The sequence below is a fragment of the Homo sapiens genome, chromosome X (assembly GCF_000001405.40).
Source record: "Homo sapiens chromosome X, GRCh38.p14 Primary Assembly".
Classification (NCBI taxonomy): Eukaryota; Metazoa; Chordata; class Mammalia; order Primates; family Hominidae; genus Homo; species Homo sapiens.
The window spans coordinates 23,940,337-23,953,932 of record NC_000023.11 but is presented as its reverse complement, the minus strand read 5'-3'; the positions used below and the strand labels follow the sequence as shown (position 1 = coordinate 23,953,932).

Here is a 13,596-nt window from a genome sequence, read left to right as displayed (position 1 = left end):
TTCTCATAATACAAGTTGGGAAATATTCCCTCCTCTTCAATTTTCTGGAATAGTTTCTGTAAAATTGGTGCTAAAACTCATAGAATTTTAAAACTGAAAGACACCCTCGAAATCACCCAGTACTGACTGGAACCTTGATTTGACTATAAAGACAACAGAGACCCCATTTTTTCTCTCCAGGTAGCCAAAATCAATGGTAGATTTCTATACGTTGGAGGATTAAAAAAGGAATAAAATGACTATTCTTAACACAGTGTACAAAGAAGGCAGTCTGTTCAGAAATAGCTGAAAAGCCATTTCCTAACAAAGTTGACATTCTCTGTCTTCACTGCACTATAAAAACAAGAAACGACAAATGAATTCAAATGTTGAGGAAAGAATGAACCAGAAACAGGGTCTTCTGGTTTTCCCCAGAAGCCTATCCTGAGGCAAGCATTCCACTCTAAGTACAATAATTATTTAGAAGGTGCAAAACCAAAACAAACCAAAAAGAAACCGCCACAGTAGAATGGGGAAGTTACCGGGGAAGTAAGAAAGGCAAGGCAGCCAATAAAGGATGTATTACTAAGTCAGTTACCGCTGTGGGTTCCTGGAACTTACTGGTGCTGGGGACATTCTGAGAACCAGTACAAAACACACACATACACCTCGGTTATTCCACCCAGGGCAGAAAGAGCTGAGATATTTATACATCAACTTCTCTCAGGCATTGAGTGAGAGCAACCAGAGGGGCATTCATTCCCTGGCACTTCCGGCCTGCTTGCATAAGCACCAGTGGCAGTGGGCTCCAGCAACAGGAGAATGCCCTAAACAAAGAAGTCCATGAGCTGGTAAGTTAGAAGTCAAGCTGTGTGCTCGGAAGTGGTAAAGGTGAGAGGATAAAGGCAGCCCACTTACACACAGTATGTGTCACAGCAGGGTAGGAGAATTACCTTAACACATGAGAGAAATTATCTTCCGAAGGAGGATTTCTATGATTTTAGCAGGAAAATGTGAATGTTGTGATTTATTTCAAGATTACTTAAATTATAGAATATTTCTGGGGGTGTGTTTCTCAAAAATATTCCTTTGAGGTTGTGCCTTCAGAAATAATCTGTGAAGACAAAAGGAGAGTGGCAAGGTACAGTCTTTGCATAGAGTATTTCTATCCACTTTAAATTCATGCAAACTTAAATATCGTCATTTTATTCTATTTATTTTAGCATGTTAAAAGAATTACATTAATTTATTTGTGCTAAATGAGAAGGTACCCTCAATGAGAAAAAAAGGTAATGGGTTGCATGCTGAGAATAACCTATGGATTAATATTTAAAGTTTCTCAAGAGATGATGTAATAATAAAATCCCTGGGACAGATAGTATAATGGCATTAGTCATAGATTTCCGGAAATGCTAATCCAACGTCTTTTAACACTGGAGGTGTTTTATTCATAGAAATCTGTAATAATTATTGATCCAAAATATGCTTAGGTTGTATTTGATTCTTTCTTAATAGCCTATGATGGAACTGTATAATTTTTGGTATTTATTTTTTTCACTCTGGTCCATAACCACCATATCTTGATATTTTTCCCTTTTAGAAGTTTCTCATAGCTCTGCAAATGTTGGAGAATTTTGAAGAATATAATTTGACAGGTTAATTTGAATGCTAAAGATTGTCATAATTTAATATTACCAGGGAGAAATGAATATTCACTTTTCCAAAAATATAGAAGGAAATGACTTACTCTTGGAGAACTTTAAAAAATAATATGCATGAATATTTTAAACTTAATGTGATTTCTATGAATCATAGCCAATATAATACTGTAAATTTATAGATCAGGGTTGAAAATTTTTGGACTTTGGACGATCTTCACTCTTTCACATCTTCCTGGTCCAGAAATCTGAGCAACTCACCTTACTTACAAACAAAGACTTAATAGAGGTGAAGTAAGTTTTCATGTTTCTAAAACTTCATTAATTGTATAAACAGTATATACATTCACCAGTACATTATGAAAATAAGCTACAAAACAATTGTAACTTAAGCCACACTTAAAATACTTTAGCCAAATACTGTTTATGAAAAGGAAGCCTTGATGTTTGCTTTCAAGCAAATCAACATTTCTTCAAGTTGTCAATATTATTCTACAAATAATTAGCATTGGTTAGGGAGACTGTGTTATTGGTCCACCATAGGAAAAAGTGATAGAGAGTATCAGGTTATAGAATCTTATTATTCTGTGTCCTTTTCATTTTATTTTATTTTTATTTTTTTTGAGAGAGTCTCACTCTTGTCACCCAGGCTGGAGTGCTGTGGCACGATCTTGGCTCACTGCAACTTCTGCTTCCTGGGTTCAACCAATTTTCCTGCCTCAGCCTCCCAAGCAGCTGGGATTACAAGCACCCGCCACCATGCCTGGCTAATTTTTTTTTTTTTTTTTTTTTTTGTATTTTTAGTAGAGACAAGGTTTCACCATGTTCGCGAGGCTGGTCTCGATCCGCTGACCTCAGGTGATCCGTCCGCCTCGGCCTCCCAAAGTGTTGGGATTACAGGCTTGAGACACTGCACCCAGCCTTCGGTGTCCTTTTTAAACTTAAGGTTCTGATAATTTAGAAATATGTAGTAAAATTTATTCCTCTTCTTTTTAAAAATCCTTGATTGCTGAATTCCTGCAAATTGTTCCTACAAAATTTGTAATCATTGTCAGTGGTGCTTGGTCAATGCACCATTGTTAAAACCAGCCTTGAAAAATAGACAACCTTTTGTATACAAGTGGTTATGCAGTTAATAATTTCTTCAGAAAGGCACTGCTACACTATTTCTGTGCTATTATGAGGAGTCTCTTTGTCAGTTAATATGTATTTCACCCACACATTTTTTGAGCTATCTCCTGAGTTGATGACCAAGCTAATGGCATAGAGTAAACCGTAACAATTTGTCCCCCGAGAAGATCCTGTCAAGTTGCCTAAAATGATAAATGTCCTTAATAATTACTTCATATTTTTATCCTATTCAGGCATGTAGTAGATATTCAACATATATTTACTGAATTGGTATTTTTGTTGTTGTCACTGTTTTTAATAATAAAGAATTAGTCTCTTAAGGCCAGACACAGTGGCTCACACCTATAATCCCAATACCTTGGGAGGCTGAGGTGGCCCGATCGCTTGAGCTCAGGAGTTCAAGACCAGCCTGGGCAACATGGTGAAACCCTGCCTCTACGAAAAATACAAACATCAGCCGGGCATGGTGGCACAGCCTGTAGTTCCAGCTACTCGGGAGGCTGAGGTGGGAGGATTGCTTGAGCCTGAGAGGTGGAGGTTGCAGTGAGCCGAGATCATGCCACTGCACTCCAGCCTGGGCGACAGAGTGAGAACTTGTCTCAAAAAAAAAAAAAAAAAAGGAAGAAGAAGAAAAGAATGATTCTCTAGATCCAATTTACAGGAAATACAGAGGACAGAGTTACGTGTTAGCTACACCAAGGAATTCAATCAGCAAAGTCTAGATCATGGGAAATGTTACAGAATGAATGATCCAGTTTAATTAACAAATTGTAATGGGGGAGAAAAAAAGAGGTGGATAGGGAACCTACAGATTAAAAAGAAATAAAAACCATATAAAAAAAGAGGCAAAATTAAACTACATTGTGTATGGGTGCATGCTTAGGTGAGGAAACTATAAAAGAATGAGGTGATTACCATAAAAGCCAGGAGAATAGTTACTCTTAAGAGACGAGGTGCAGGGCCAGGTAGAGGGTTTCTGGGGTGGTCAGGTATGACTCTTTCTTCTGACGTGGATGGTAGTTACTAAGGTGTCTTGCCTTACAATAATGCATTCAACTGTAAAATCATTTTATATGATTTTCTATAGATGTGTTATACTTTTAAAAGTTTAATACACAACAAGAAATATATACATATATATGTTTTCAAATTACCAACATGACGTCACAACAGTTGGCAAGAGATGTCTAGTAGCACATCACTCTACAGCATTTCCACCATACAGATACAATAGATATAAATAGAATCGGCCGGGCACAGTGGCTCACACCTGTAATTCCAGCACTTTGGGAGGCCGAGGCAGGCACATCACAAGGTCAGGAGTTCGAGACCAGCCTGGCCGATATAGTGAAACTCCGTCTCTGCTAAAAATACAAAAATTAGCCGGGCGTGGTGGTGGGTGCCTGTAGTCCTAGCTTTTCAGGAGGCTGAGGCAGGAGAATCGCTTGAACCCGAGAGGGGGAGGTTGCAGTGAGGCGAGATCACACCATTGCACTCCAGCCTGGGCAACAAGAGCGAAACTCCATCTCAAAAAAAAAATAGAATCAAGAACTCATATCATAGAATGTAAAATGTAGAATCATTAGAATGATTCTCCTTAAATAATAATTAAAATAATTAGAAGCGATACTTTTTGAGAAGTTTTACCTGTGATTTTAATACAGGTTACCTAAGTAAACTATACAATTACGAGTTTATACAATTCATTTTTTTTTCTTTTTGAGACAGTGTCTGGCTCTGTCACTCAAGCTGGAGTGCAGTGGCACGATCTCAGCTTACTGCAGCCTCTGCCTCCCAGGCTCAAGCGATCCTCCGACTTCAGCCTCCCACGCAGCTGGGACTACAGGCATGTGCCACCATGCCCAGCTAATTTAAAAAAAAATTTTTGTAGAGATGGAGTTTTGCCATGTTGCCCAGGCTGGTCTCAAACTCCTGTGCTCAAGTGATCCACCTGTCTCGGCCTCCCAAAGCACTGGGATTACAGGCATGAGCCACTGTGCCTGACTACAGTTTAATTTTTAATAATGGCTATACTTACCAACCAGCTCACAAAATTCCTGAAAATTTAACAATGAATGTTAAAAATTTAACAACAGCAAGCTAAGTATGAGCCACTTTAGCACGCTCTTGTATTCATCCTAACAATTCCCCGACTTTCTTGTGTTTTTTAAATTTAGTTTTTAAAATCAAATGCATACTTGCAGTTTTAAAAATCAAATAGTTCTCCATTTTCTGATCCTCAGAGGCAACAGTTTCAAATATTTTATCTGATTCTTTTGGTATTGACCTCCATCTCTCAAAATTAGATACTTCTTGATTTTTCAGTTTTGGACATGGCTATAGACTGAATGATTGTGTTCCCACCCCCACCCCAATTCATATGTTGAAATTCTAACCTCCAGTGTGATGGTAGAGATGGGGCCTTTGGAAAGTGATTTAGGTCACTAGGGTAGCACTCTCATGAATGGGATTAGTGCCCTCATAAGAGACCCCACTTGCCCTTTTCTGTCATGGGAAAAGACAGCCACCTATGAGCCAGGAAGCAAGCCCTCACCAGACTCTGAATCTGCCAGTGCCTTGATTTTGGACTTCTCAGCCTCCAGAATTGTGAGAAGTTTCTGTTGTTTATAAACTGCCCCGTTTATGGTAGTCTGTTATAGCAGCCTAAACAGACTAAGACAGACATCATTTACTGACTTTACATTATGAGACGTAAGGATTAAATTCTCTCTCATTCCCTACCCAGCTACACACATACACATTTCCTATCCCTCCAGGTTTCACATATGGTTATATTCTAATTTTAGTTAGATCAGTAAAGGAAAATGCTATTTACTGTTCAAATGTGTAATATACTATGATTATTCTTCCTTTCCAACTTTTTGGTTTTTTTCTGAAGCTAATAACTGTTCTGGGTTTTTTTTTTTTCTCATTTTTTCCCATTTGTTTGGTTTCCTAAGTCCATATCCTCAGACTTTCTCTCACTCGGGTAAATCTTTCATATTCAAACATACTAGGTTTATGAGTTCATCTACCTAAAAAGTCTCTTCTGGAACCATCTGGTCTGCTCCAATCTGGATTTGTTTCTCTAAGTCTGCTCAATGGCTGCTGTTTGGAGACTTTCTCATCAGGGATTCCCTTTACCTCTCTTACGTTGCATCCCCTGTTTCTTGGATCCCATATTCACCTTCTTTCCTTGCTTATACTTTTGTATTGGTGAAATAACATCCTCTAAAGTTTCTTTTTTTTTTTTTTTTTGAGACGGAGTCTTGCTCTGTTGCCCAGGCTGGAGTGCAGTGGCTCGATCTCGGCTCGCTGCATGCTCTGCCTCCCAGGCTCACGCCATTCTCCTGCCTCAGCCTCCGGAGTAGCTGGGACTACAGGCGCCCGCTACCACGCCCAGAGAATTTTTTGTATTTTTAGTGGAGACGGGGTTTCACCGTGTTAGCCAGGATGGTCTCGATCTCCTGACCTCGTGATCCACCTGCCTCGGCCTCCCAAAGTGCTGGGATTACAGGCGTGAGCCACCGCGCCCGGCCTTAAAGTTTCTTGAGAAATGCATATGGGAGGTAAAAATTCCTGTAATCTTGAATATCTGAAAATGTCCTTATTCTGCCCTCAAACTCAATTGAGAGTTTGCCTGGTTTTAGAATTCTGGGTAGGAAATTATTTTCCTCAGAATTATAAAAACATTGATTGCTTCAGTGTTGCTGTTGAGAAGTCTGATCTTGATTCTATATGTAAAATCAGTTTCTCCTCTCTGGAAATTTATGGGACCATTTATTTGTCTTTGTCCCCAGTATTTAAAAATATTACAATGAAACCTTGTGGTTTTGATTTACTCCTGGAAGAGTTTGTTAACTTTATTTTATATATTTTTTTGAGATAGGGTCTTGCTCTGTTGCCCAGGCTGGAGTGCAGTGGTGCAATCTCAGCTCACTGCAACCTCCGCCTCCTGAGCTTAAGCAATCCTCCCACCTCAGCCTCCTGAGTTGCTGGGACCACAGGTGTGTGCCACCACATCTGGCTAATTTTCATAATTAAAAATTAAATATAAAATTAAATTAAACACAGTTTTGCCATGTTGCCTAGGCTGGTCTCGAACCCGGGCTGAAGTGATCCACCTGCCTCGGCCTCCCAAAGTGCTGGGATGACAAGTATGAGCCACCGTGCCCGGCCTTGACTTCCTTAACTTTAAATTCAAACCTTTGAGGCTTTAAAATGCAAAACGATTAGAATCTTCATACACACACATACATATAACCATGCTGTTCTTTTTTCTTTTCTTTTCTTTTCTTTTTTGAGATGGAGTTTTGCTGGTTGACCAGGCTGGAGTGCAATGGAGTGATCTCAGCTCACCGCAACCACCACCTCCCGGGTTCAAGTGATTCTCCTGCCTCAGCCTCCCGAGTAGCTGGGATTACAGGCATGCACCACCATGCCCAGCTAATTTTGTGTTTCTAGTAGAGACGGGGTTTCTCCGTGTTCGTCAGGCTGGTCTCGAACTCCCAACCTCAGGTGATCCACCCGCCTTGGCCTCCCAAAGTGCTGGGATTACAAGTGTGAGCCACCGCGCCTGGCCAACCATGCTGTTCTTATTTCATGAATGCAGTATATTTTCTTATATCTTATTAGTGGTCTGTTTTTTTTTTTTTTTTTGAGGTTTCTATATTTGGATCATTTATTTCCTTCAAGTTTTCTCCTCTGTTTGCTCCTCTGTCTTTCATGCTACAAGCTTTCTTCAGATGTCCAGTGATGGGTGGTTGTCTGTGCTTATTTCTTATTATTTTATTTATTTTTTTGAGATGGAGTCTCACTCTGTCACCCAGGCTGGAGTGCAGTGGCATGATCTCAGCTCACTGCAACCTCCATCTCCCAGGTTCAAGTGATTCTTGTGCCTCAGCCTCCCGAGTAGCTGGGACTACAGGCACGTGCCACCACATCTGGCTAATTTTTTGAATTTTTAGTAGAGACGGGGTTTTACCATGTTGGCCAGGTTGGTCTTGAACTCCTGACCTCAGGTGATCCACCCACCTCGGCCTCCCAAAGTGCTGGGATTACTGGTGTGAGCCACCATGCCCGGCCATCTGTGCTTATTTATGAGTGGGGCGCCAAAAAAACAAGATTGGAGGCTCTGTGTAGTTGGGTGGAACTAGGGGGCTATAAGCTTCCCTGCCTAGTTGGGCCATTAGTTGTAAGACTCCCTTCATACCAGTATTTTGAAGTCTTTTCCCTTGTTGGCCAGACTCTCCAGAGAAGTCTCTTCTAAATTTCATGGAGGGTGTAACCCTAACGGCCAGCATTTTGAGTGCCTGGTGGGAGAAGAAGGCAGGAGTCTCAACATTCAATATGTCAACTTTTGCTTAACCCCTGTTCTCAGGACAGTACCTTGGCCCCTAGCTGTCCCTTATGTTTTCCAGTTCAGAGAACTTTTGTTTTGCTCTCTCTAGACAAAAAAAAAGTCTCCGGTTTTGGCCCGAGTGAAGGAGAAGCAGTTGCCTGACTGCAAGGTGGTTATATTAGTCTCCTAGGTATTTGCAGTAACAAAATACTCCAAAGTGGATGACTTAACACAATAGAAATTCATTGTCTCACAGTTCTGGAGGCTAGAAGTCCAAGATCAAGGTGTCTGCAGGGCCATGCTCCCCCTGAAACCTGCAAAGGAGACTCTTTCCCTGCCTCTGTGTAGTTTGTGGTGGTTTGCTGGCAATCTTTGACATCCCTTGGCTTGCAGCTGCATGACTTCAGTCTCTTCATCATTACATGGTGTTCTCCCTGTGGGTCTTTGTTTTTACATGGCTGTCTTCTTATAAGGACAACAGTCATATTGGATTAGGGGCCCAGCGTATTCTAGTATGACCTCATCTTAATGAATTACATCTGCAACAACCCTATCTCCAAATAAGGTCACATTCTAAAGTACTGGGGGTTAGGACTTCAACATATTTTTTCAGAAGAGGGTTGGGGGGATGAGAGGTGGCGGGGTAGTCACAATTCAACCCATAACAGTGGGGAAGGGATTTGGTGCTGTAACTGCTTCTTAAACAGATTTTCAACCAACTCCTTCTACTTCACCCCTCACTTCCAAAGGTTACCTGCTGTTGCCAATTCCTGAGTCTTCTAGGGGGTTCCCCCAGTGTAAACTGATTTGTTTCTTAGCTTTTTTTCAACACCAGTTTAAAACTCAGTTTTCTCAGATCTGCTATTCAACCAGCACTCATTTGTAAGCTTTCTAACTGACAAAATGTTGCTACTGTTTTCTCTGATTTCTCTTTATCATCAAGGTTTAGGCTCTAAAAAAAAATCTCCTTACTGTTATTGCAGTGGGGTTTGAAGGGGGAAAGAGACTTCGATGCTCAAGCCAGCATTTTTAGCCAGAAGTTCTCCTACATGTATCTTCCTTCTCTCCCTCTCAAATGGCACCTTCTTTCTTAATTCTCTCACATTTCAAACCACAACAAAACGTTTAAGGAAAAAATTTTCTCTAATCTCTAAATATGTAAATAATGGAGGGGTTGAGGGAGAGATGACGATAGGGAGAAAGAGAACCAAATTTGGCAGATTCAAAGCCCATACTCTATCATAGCACTCTGCCTCCATGAAGTATAAACAAACATCAGTATCATACCACTCAAAGAGCAAACGGCTGAAAAGCAATATGACAATGCATATAAACAGCTATAAAAATGTTTAAAGTCTCTGATGTAAGTAGTGCCACTCTCAAGATTTTAGCCTAAGGCTATAATTCAACATAATGAAGTGACAACATGGACTCTGGCTTATGAGAAATCAGTAGACCAAATATCCTGAAAAAAACTAACCCATTGTAAAAACCATAGAAATTCTAGATAAAATGCAAAAACATCTTTTAAAAGGCATAACTGAGCTTGTAAGAAGGAAAAATCCTCAGGAGTGAAAAATAAAGAGAAAGCTACACACTAGCATGGTAAATGACTGAAGCCCTGAGCATGTGTGTCAACACCAGGGACCTGAAGTTTCGGGTTTTTTTTTTTTTAATGCAGTTTCTCTCCTGTTGCCCAGGCTGTGCAATGGCACAATCTCGGCTCACTGCAAACTCTGCCTCCTGGGTTCAAGCGATTCTCCCGCCTCAGCCTCCTGAGTAGGTGGGATTACAGGTGCTCGCCACCACGCCTGGCTAATTTTTGTATTTTAGTAGAGACGGGGTTTCACCATGTTGGTTAGGCTGGTCTCAAACTCCTGACCTCAGGTGATCCACCCGCCTCAGCCTCCCAAAGTGCTGGGATTACAGGCATGAGCCACCACTGCGCCCGGCCGAGTTTTGGATTTTAATGACCTCAGGTGTGTAGAAGACAAGCTCTTGTGCTCAGGGAAGGTAGGGGGTTGAAAATGAGACCTCTACGTAAAGTCAGACACTCAAAGGACAGTAAGGTAAAAAGCAATGGAAATAGAGAAAGCACATGGGAGGGTAAATCTTCTTCACTATAACTGAGAAACACAAAATACAAAGAGAACATCTTCAAAGTTGTCAGAGAAAAAAAAGAGATCATTTAAAAGGAATAACAATTAGACTGGAGGCAGCAGCCAGAAGACAGTGGAACAAGACTTTGCGTTGCTAAGAGAAAACCATAGCCAATGTAGAATTTGATACCTACCTAAATTACATATTTAAGAATAGGGGCAAAATGAGGACATTTTCAGAAAATCAAAAACTGAAAGAGTAATTATTACCAAAAGATGCTCCTTAAAGGAGCTTTTAAGAATATACATCAGGATAAAGAAAAATGATCTCAGAAGGAAAGTCTGAGATTAACAATAATAATATCTAAGTTGGAAGTTAAAAACAAGATAGTGCTAAAATATTAGATATAGCAATAACCTGTAAGACAAAAGGATGGTGATTAGCATTCTTAGTTTGGGAGGAGAGTGGAGCTATTGATTAACTTTAGATTTTAAGTACGCGTGCCATAATTTACACATAATCAGTAAGAATAAAAACAGAGTCGGCCAGGCGCGATGGCTCATGCCTGTAATCCTGGCACTTTGGGAGGTTGAGGCAGGAGGATCGCTTGAGGCCAGGAGATCGAGACCAGCCTGGCCAACATGGTGAAACCCTGCCTCCACTAAAAATATTTTTAAAAATTAGCTGTGCATGGTGGCACATGCCTGTGATCCCAGCTACTCCGGAGGCTAGGAAGGAGAATTGCTCGAACCTGGGAGGCGGAGGTTGCAGTGAGCTGAGATCGAGCCACTACACTCCAGCCTGGGTGACAAAGAGAGACTCCATCTCAAAAACAACAACAACAAACCCAGAGTGTATAACTTCCAAAATAGTAGGGGGAAAAATGTAGAATTGAAATCTGAAAGAAAACAGGAATGGCAGGGGAAAGACAAAGAAAATGCAGGAGAGATAGCACAAAATAAAATGGTAAAAATAATTCCAAATATGTTAGCAATTAATTAAAATTGCAATAAAGTGTAAATGAATTAAACTCACCAGTTAAAGATGTCCTGGGATTGAATTAAAACAAAAACAATCTAGATATTTGCAGTATCCTAGAGAAAACCTAAAACACAAAGACAGTGTATTTGACATTATATCAGAATGATTAATGTTATCTGTTGTAGCAAATAACTCCTAGGATTATTGGGACTTAACACACAAAGTTTATTTCTCACTCACATTACAGTTCAGCAAGTCAGGCTGCTGCTCTGGCTGTCTCTCCTTCAGTGACAGGAATCCGGAATCCTTCAATCCTGCTTCTACCACCATGGAGTTCTTTGCCTCCAGCCACAGGAACGAGAGGGAGGGGAGAGGGAGAATAGAAGACCACGTTTATTTTAGGGGCCAAGGCTAGAAGTGGTATACATCACTTCTGCTCACATTCCTCTAGCCAGAAGTCAGTTCACAGGGTCCCAACATAGCTGCAAAAAATGTTGGGAAATGTGTTCTCAGGAAGAGAAAATGAAGTCAGTGAGCATCTAGCCAGTCTCTGATACATGAAAAGGTTGAACATTTTAAAAGATGGAAAGGGATATGCCAGGCAGACACTAACCAGAAGAACGCTAGAGTAGCTCTGTTCACATGAGACAAAATAGTCTTCCAGCCGGGCGTGGTGGCTCACGCCTGTAATCCCAGCACTCTGGGAGGCTGAGGCAGGTGGATCACCTGAGGTCAGGAGTTCGAGACCAGCCTGGCCAAAATGGTGAAACCCTGCCTCTACTAAAAATATTTTGAAAAATTAGCTGGGTATGGTGGCGCATGCCTGTGATCCCGGCTACTCGGGAGGCTAGCAAGGAGAATCGCTCGAACCCAGGAGGCGGAGGTTGCAGTGAGCTGAGATTGAGCCACTGCTCTCCAGCCTGGGTGACAGAGCAAGACTCCATCTCAAAAAAAAAAAAAAAAAAAAAAAAAAAAAAACAGTCTTCCAAGCAAAATGCATTATTAGGAATAAAGGGACCAGGAGTGGTGGCTCATGCCTATAATTCCAGCACTTTGGGAAGCTGAGGTGGGAGGATCACTTGAGCCACCTCGTCTAGCCGGATGCACATTTTTTCTTAAGAGTACAAGAAACATTTATGAAAATGGACAATGTACTTGGCTATAAAGCAAGTATCAACAAGTTTCCCAGAATCAGTATCATACAAATCATACTCTCCGATTATAGTGCAATTAGGCTAAAAATAAATAACAGAAAAATAACCAAAAGAAGACTATGTATGAAAATGTTCATTCTAATGTTAATTACCTATAGTAGTAAAAAATTAGAAACAACTGAAATATCCAATGATATGAGTATGGCTAGATAAATTATGCTTTATCAATTCAATGGGCTATTGTATACCCATTAAATTATTTTTAAGTGGATCATGTTTAAGATATAAGCGAAAAGTGACCGGGCATGGTGTCTCACCCCTGTAATCCAAGCACTTTGGGAGGCCAAGGCGGGTGATCACCTGAGGTCGGGAGTTCGAGACCAGCCTGACCAACATGGAGAAACCCTGTCTCTACTAAAAATACAAAATTAGCCAGGCGGGTGGCGCATGCCTGTAATCCCAGCTGCTCAGGAGGCTGAGGCAGGAGAATCGCTTGAACTCAGTAGGCGGAGGTTGCAGTGAGCTGTGATCGCACCATTGCACTCCAGCCTGGGCAACAAGAGCATAGCTCCGTCTCAAAAAAAAAAAAACAAACAAAAAAAACATATGTGAAAAGTTTAAATCTATATGTTAGCTATTATTACAACTATGTGAAAAATATGTGTGCATTTAGACAGATTAGAAAGGTATAAGCAAATGAAAACAGTTGTTATATTATGGTGATGGGATTATGTGTAATTTTACTTTTAAAAGGATTTTCGGTGATGTGGTTATATTATTTAATGTGAGTTAAAAGAATTGATAGAAGACATGATCTCTGGGAGCAGAAGCTAGTTGTGCCTTAATATCCACTACCATTTCTTTTATGACAACAGAATTTTAGTTGGGTACATAAATGCCCCAAACAAAAATACATTTCCCAGCCTCTCTTGGAGCTAGGTGTTACGATGAGACAAAGTTATAGCTAATGAAATATGAGAAATGGGAATCCTGAAACATAAAGAGTATGTCCTTCCTTTGTCTTTTCCCTCCATCTTGCTACCTAAAATCTTCCTTTGTTATTACACACACTATAGATAGAGTCTGATATGCATTTGATCAGATGAGAGACTACATCCCAAATTAATGCATGAAAACATGTGTGACTCATGAGGACAAATAGCTGTTTTTCCATTCAACCAGTGTCCAGTACAAGCTCTGAAAACAAGGGGCTTATCATTCCATTTTTGAATATCAAATGACAATGCATTAA

The 13,596-nt window shown here is 40.5% G+C and overlaps 2 annotated features.

Moving 5' to 3' along the window:
• Nucleotides 264–801: an enhancer, noted in NCBI's record as "OCT4-NANOG-H3K27ac hESC enhancer chrX:23971249-23971786 (GRCh37/hg19 assembly coordinates)". NCBI's record gives its function as "activates a minimal SCP1, AML or CMV promoter by ChIP-STARR-seq in primed H9 embryonic stem cells {active_cell/tissue: H9 hESC(primed)}" and the evidence as "EXISTENCE:reporter gene assay evidence [ECO:0000049][PMID:30033119]".
• Nucleotides 802–1,340: an enhancer, noted in NCBI's record as "OCT4-NANOG-H3K27ac hESC enhancer chrX:23970710-23971248 (GRCh37/hg19 assembly coordinates)". NCBI's record gives its function as "activates a minimal SCP1, AML or CMV promoter by ChIP-STARR-seq in naive and primed H9 embryonic stem cells {active_cell/tissue: H9 hESC(naive and primed)}" and the evidence as "EXISTENCE:reporter gene assay evidence [ECO:0000049][PMID:30033119]".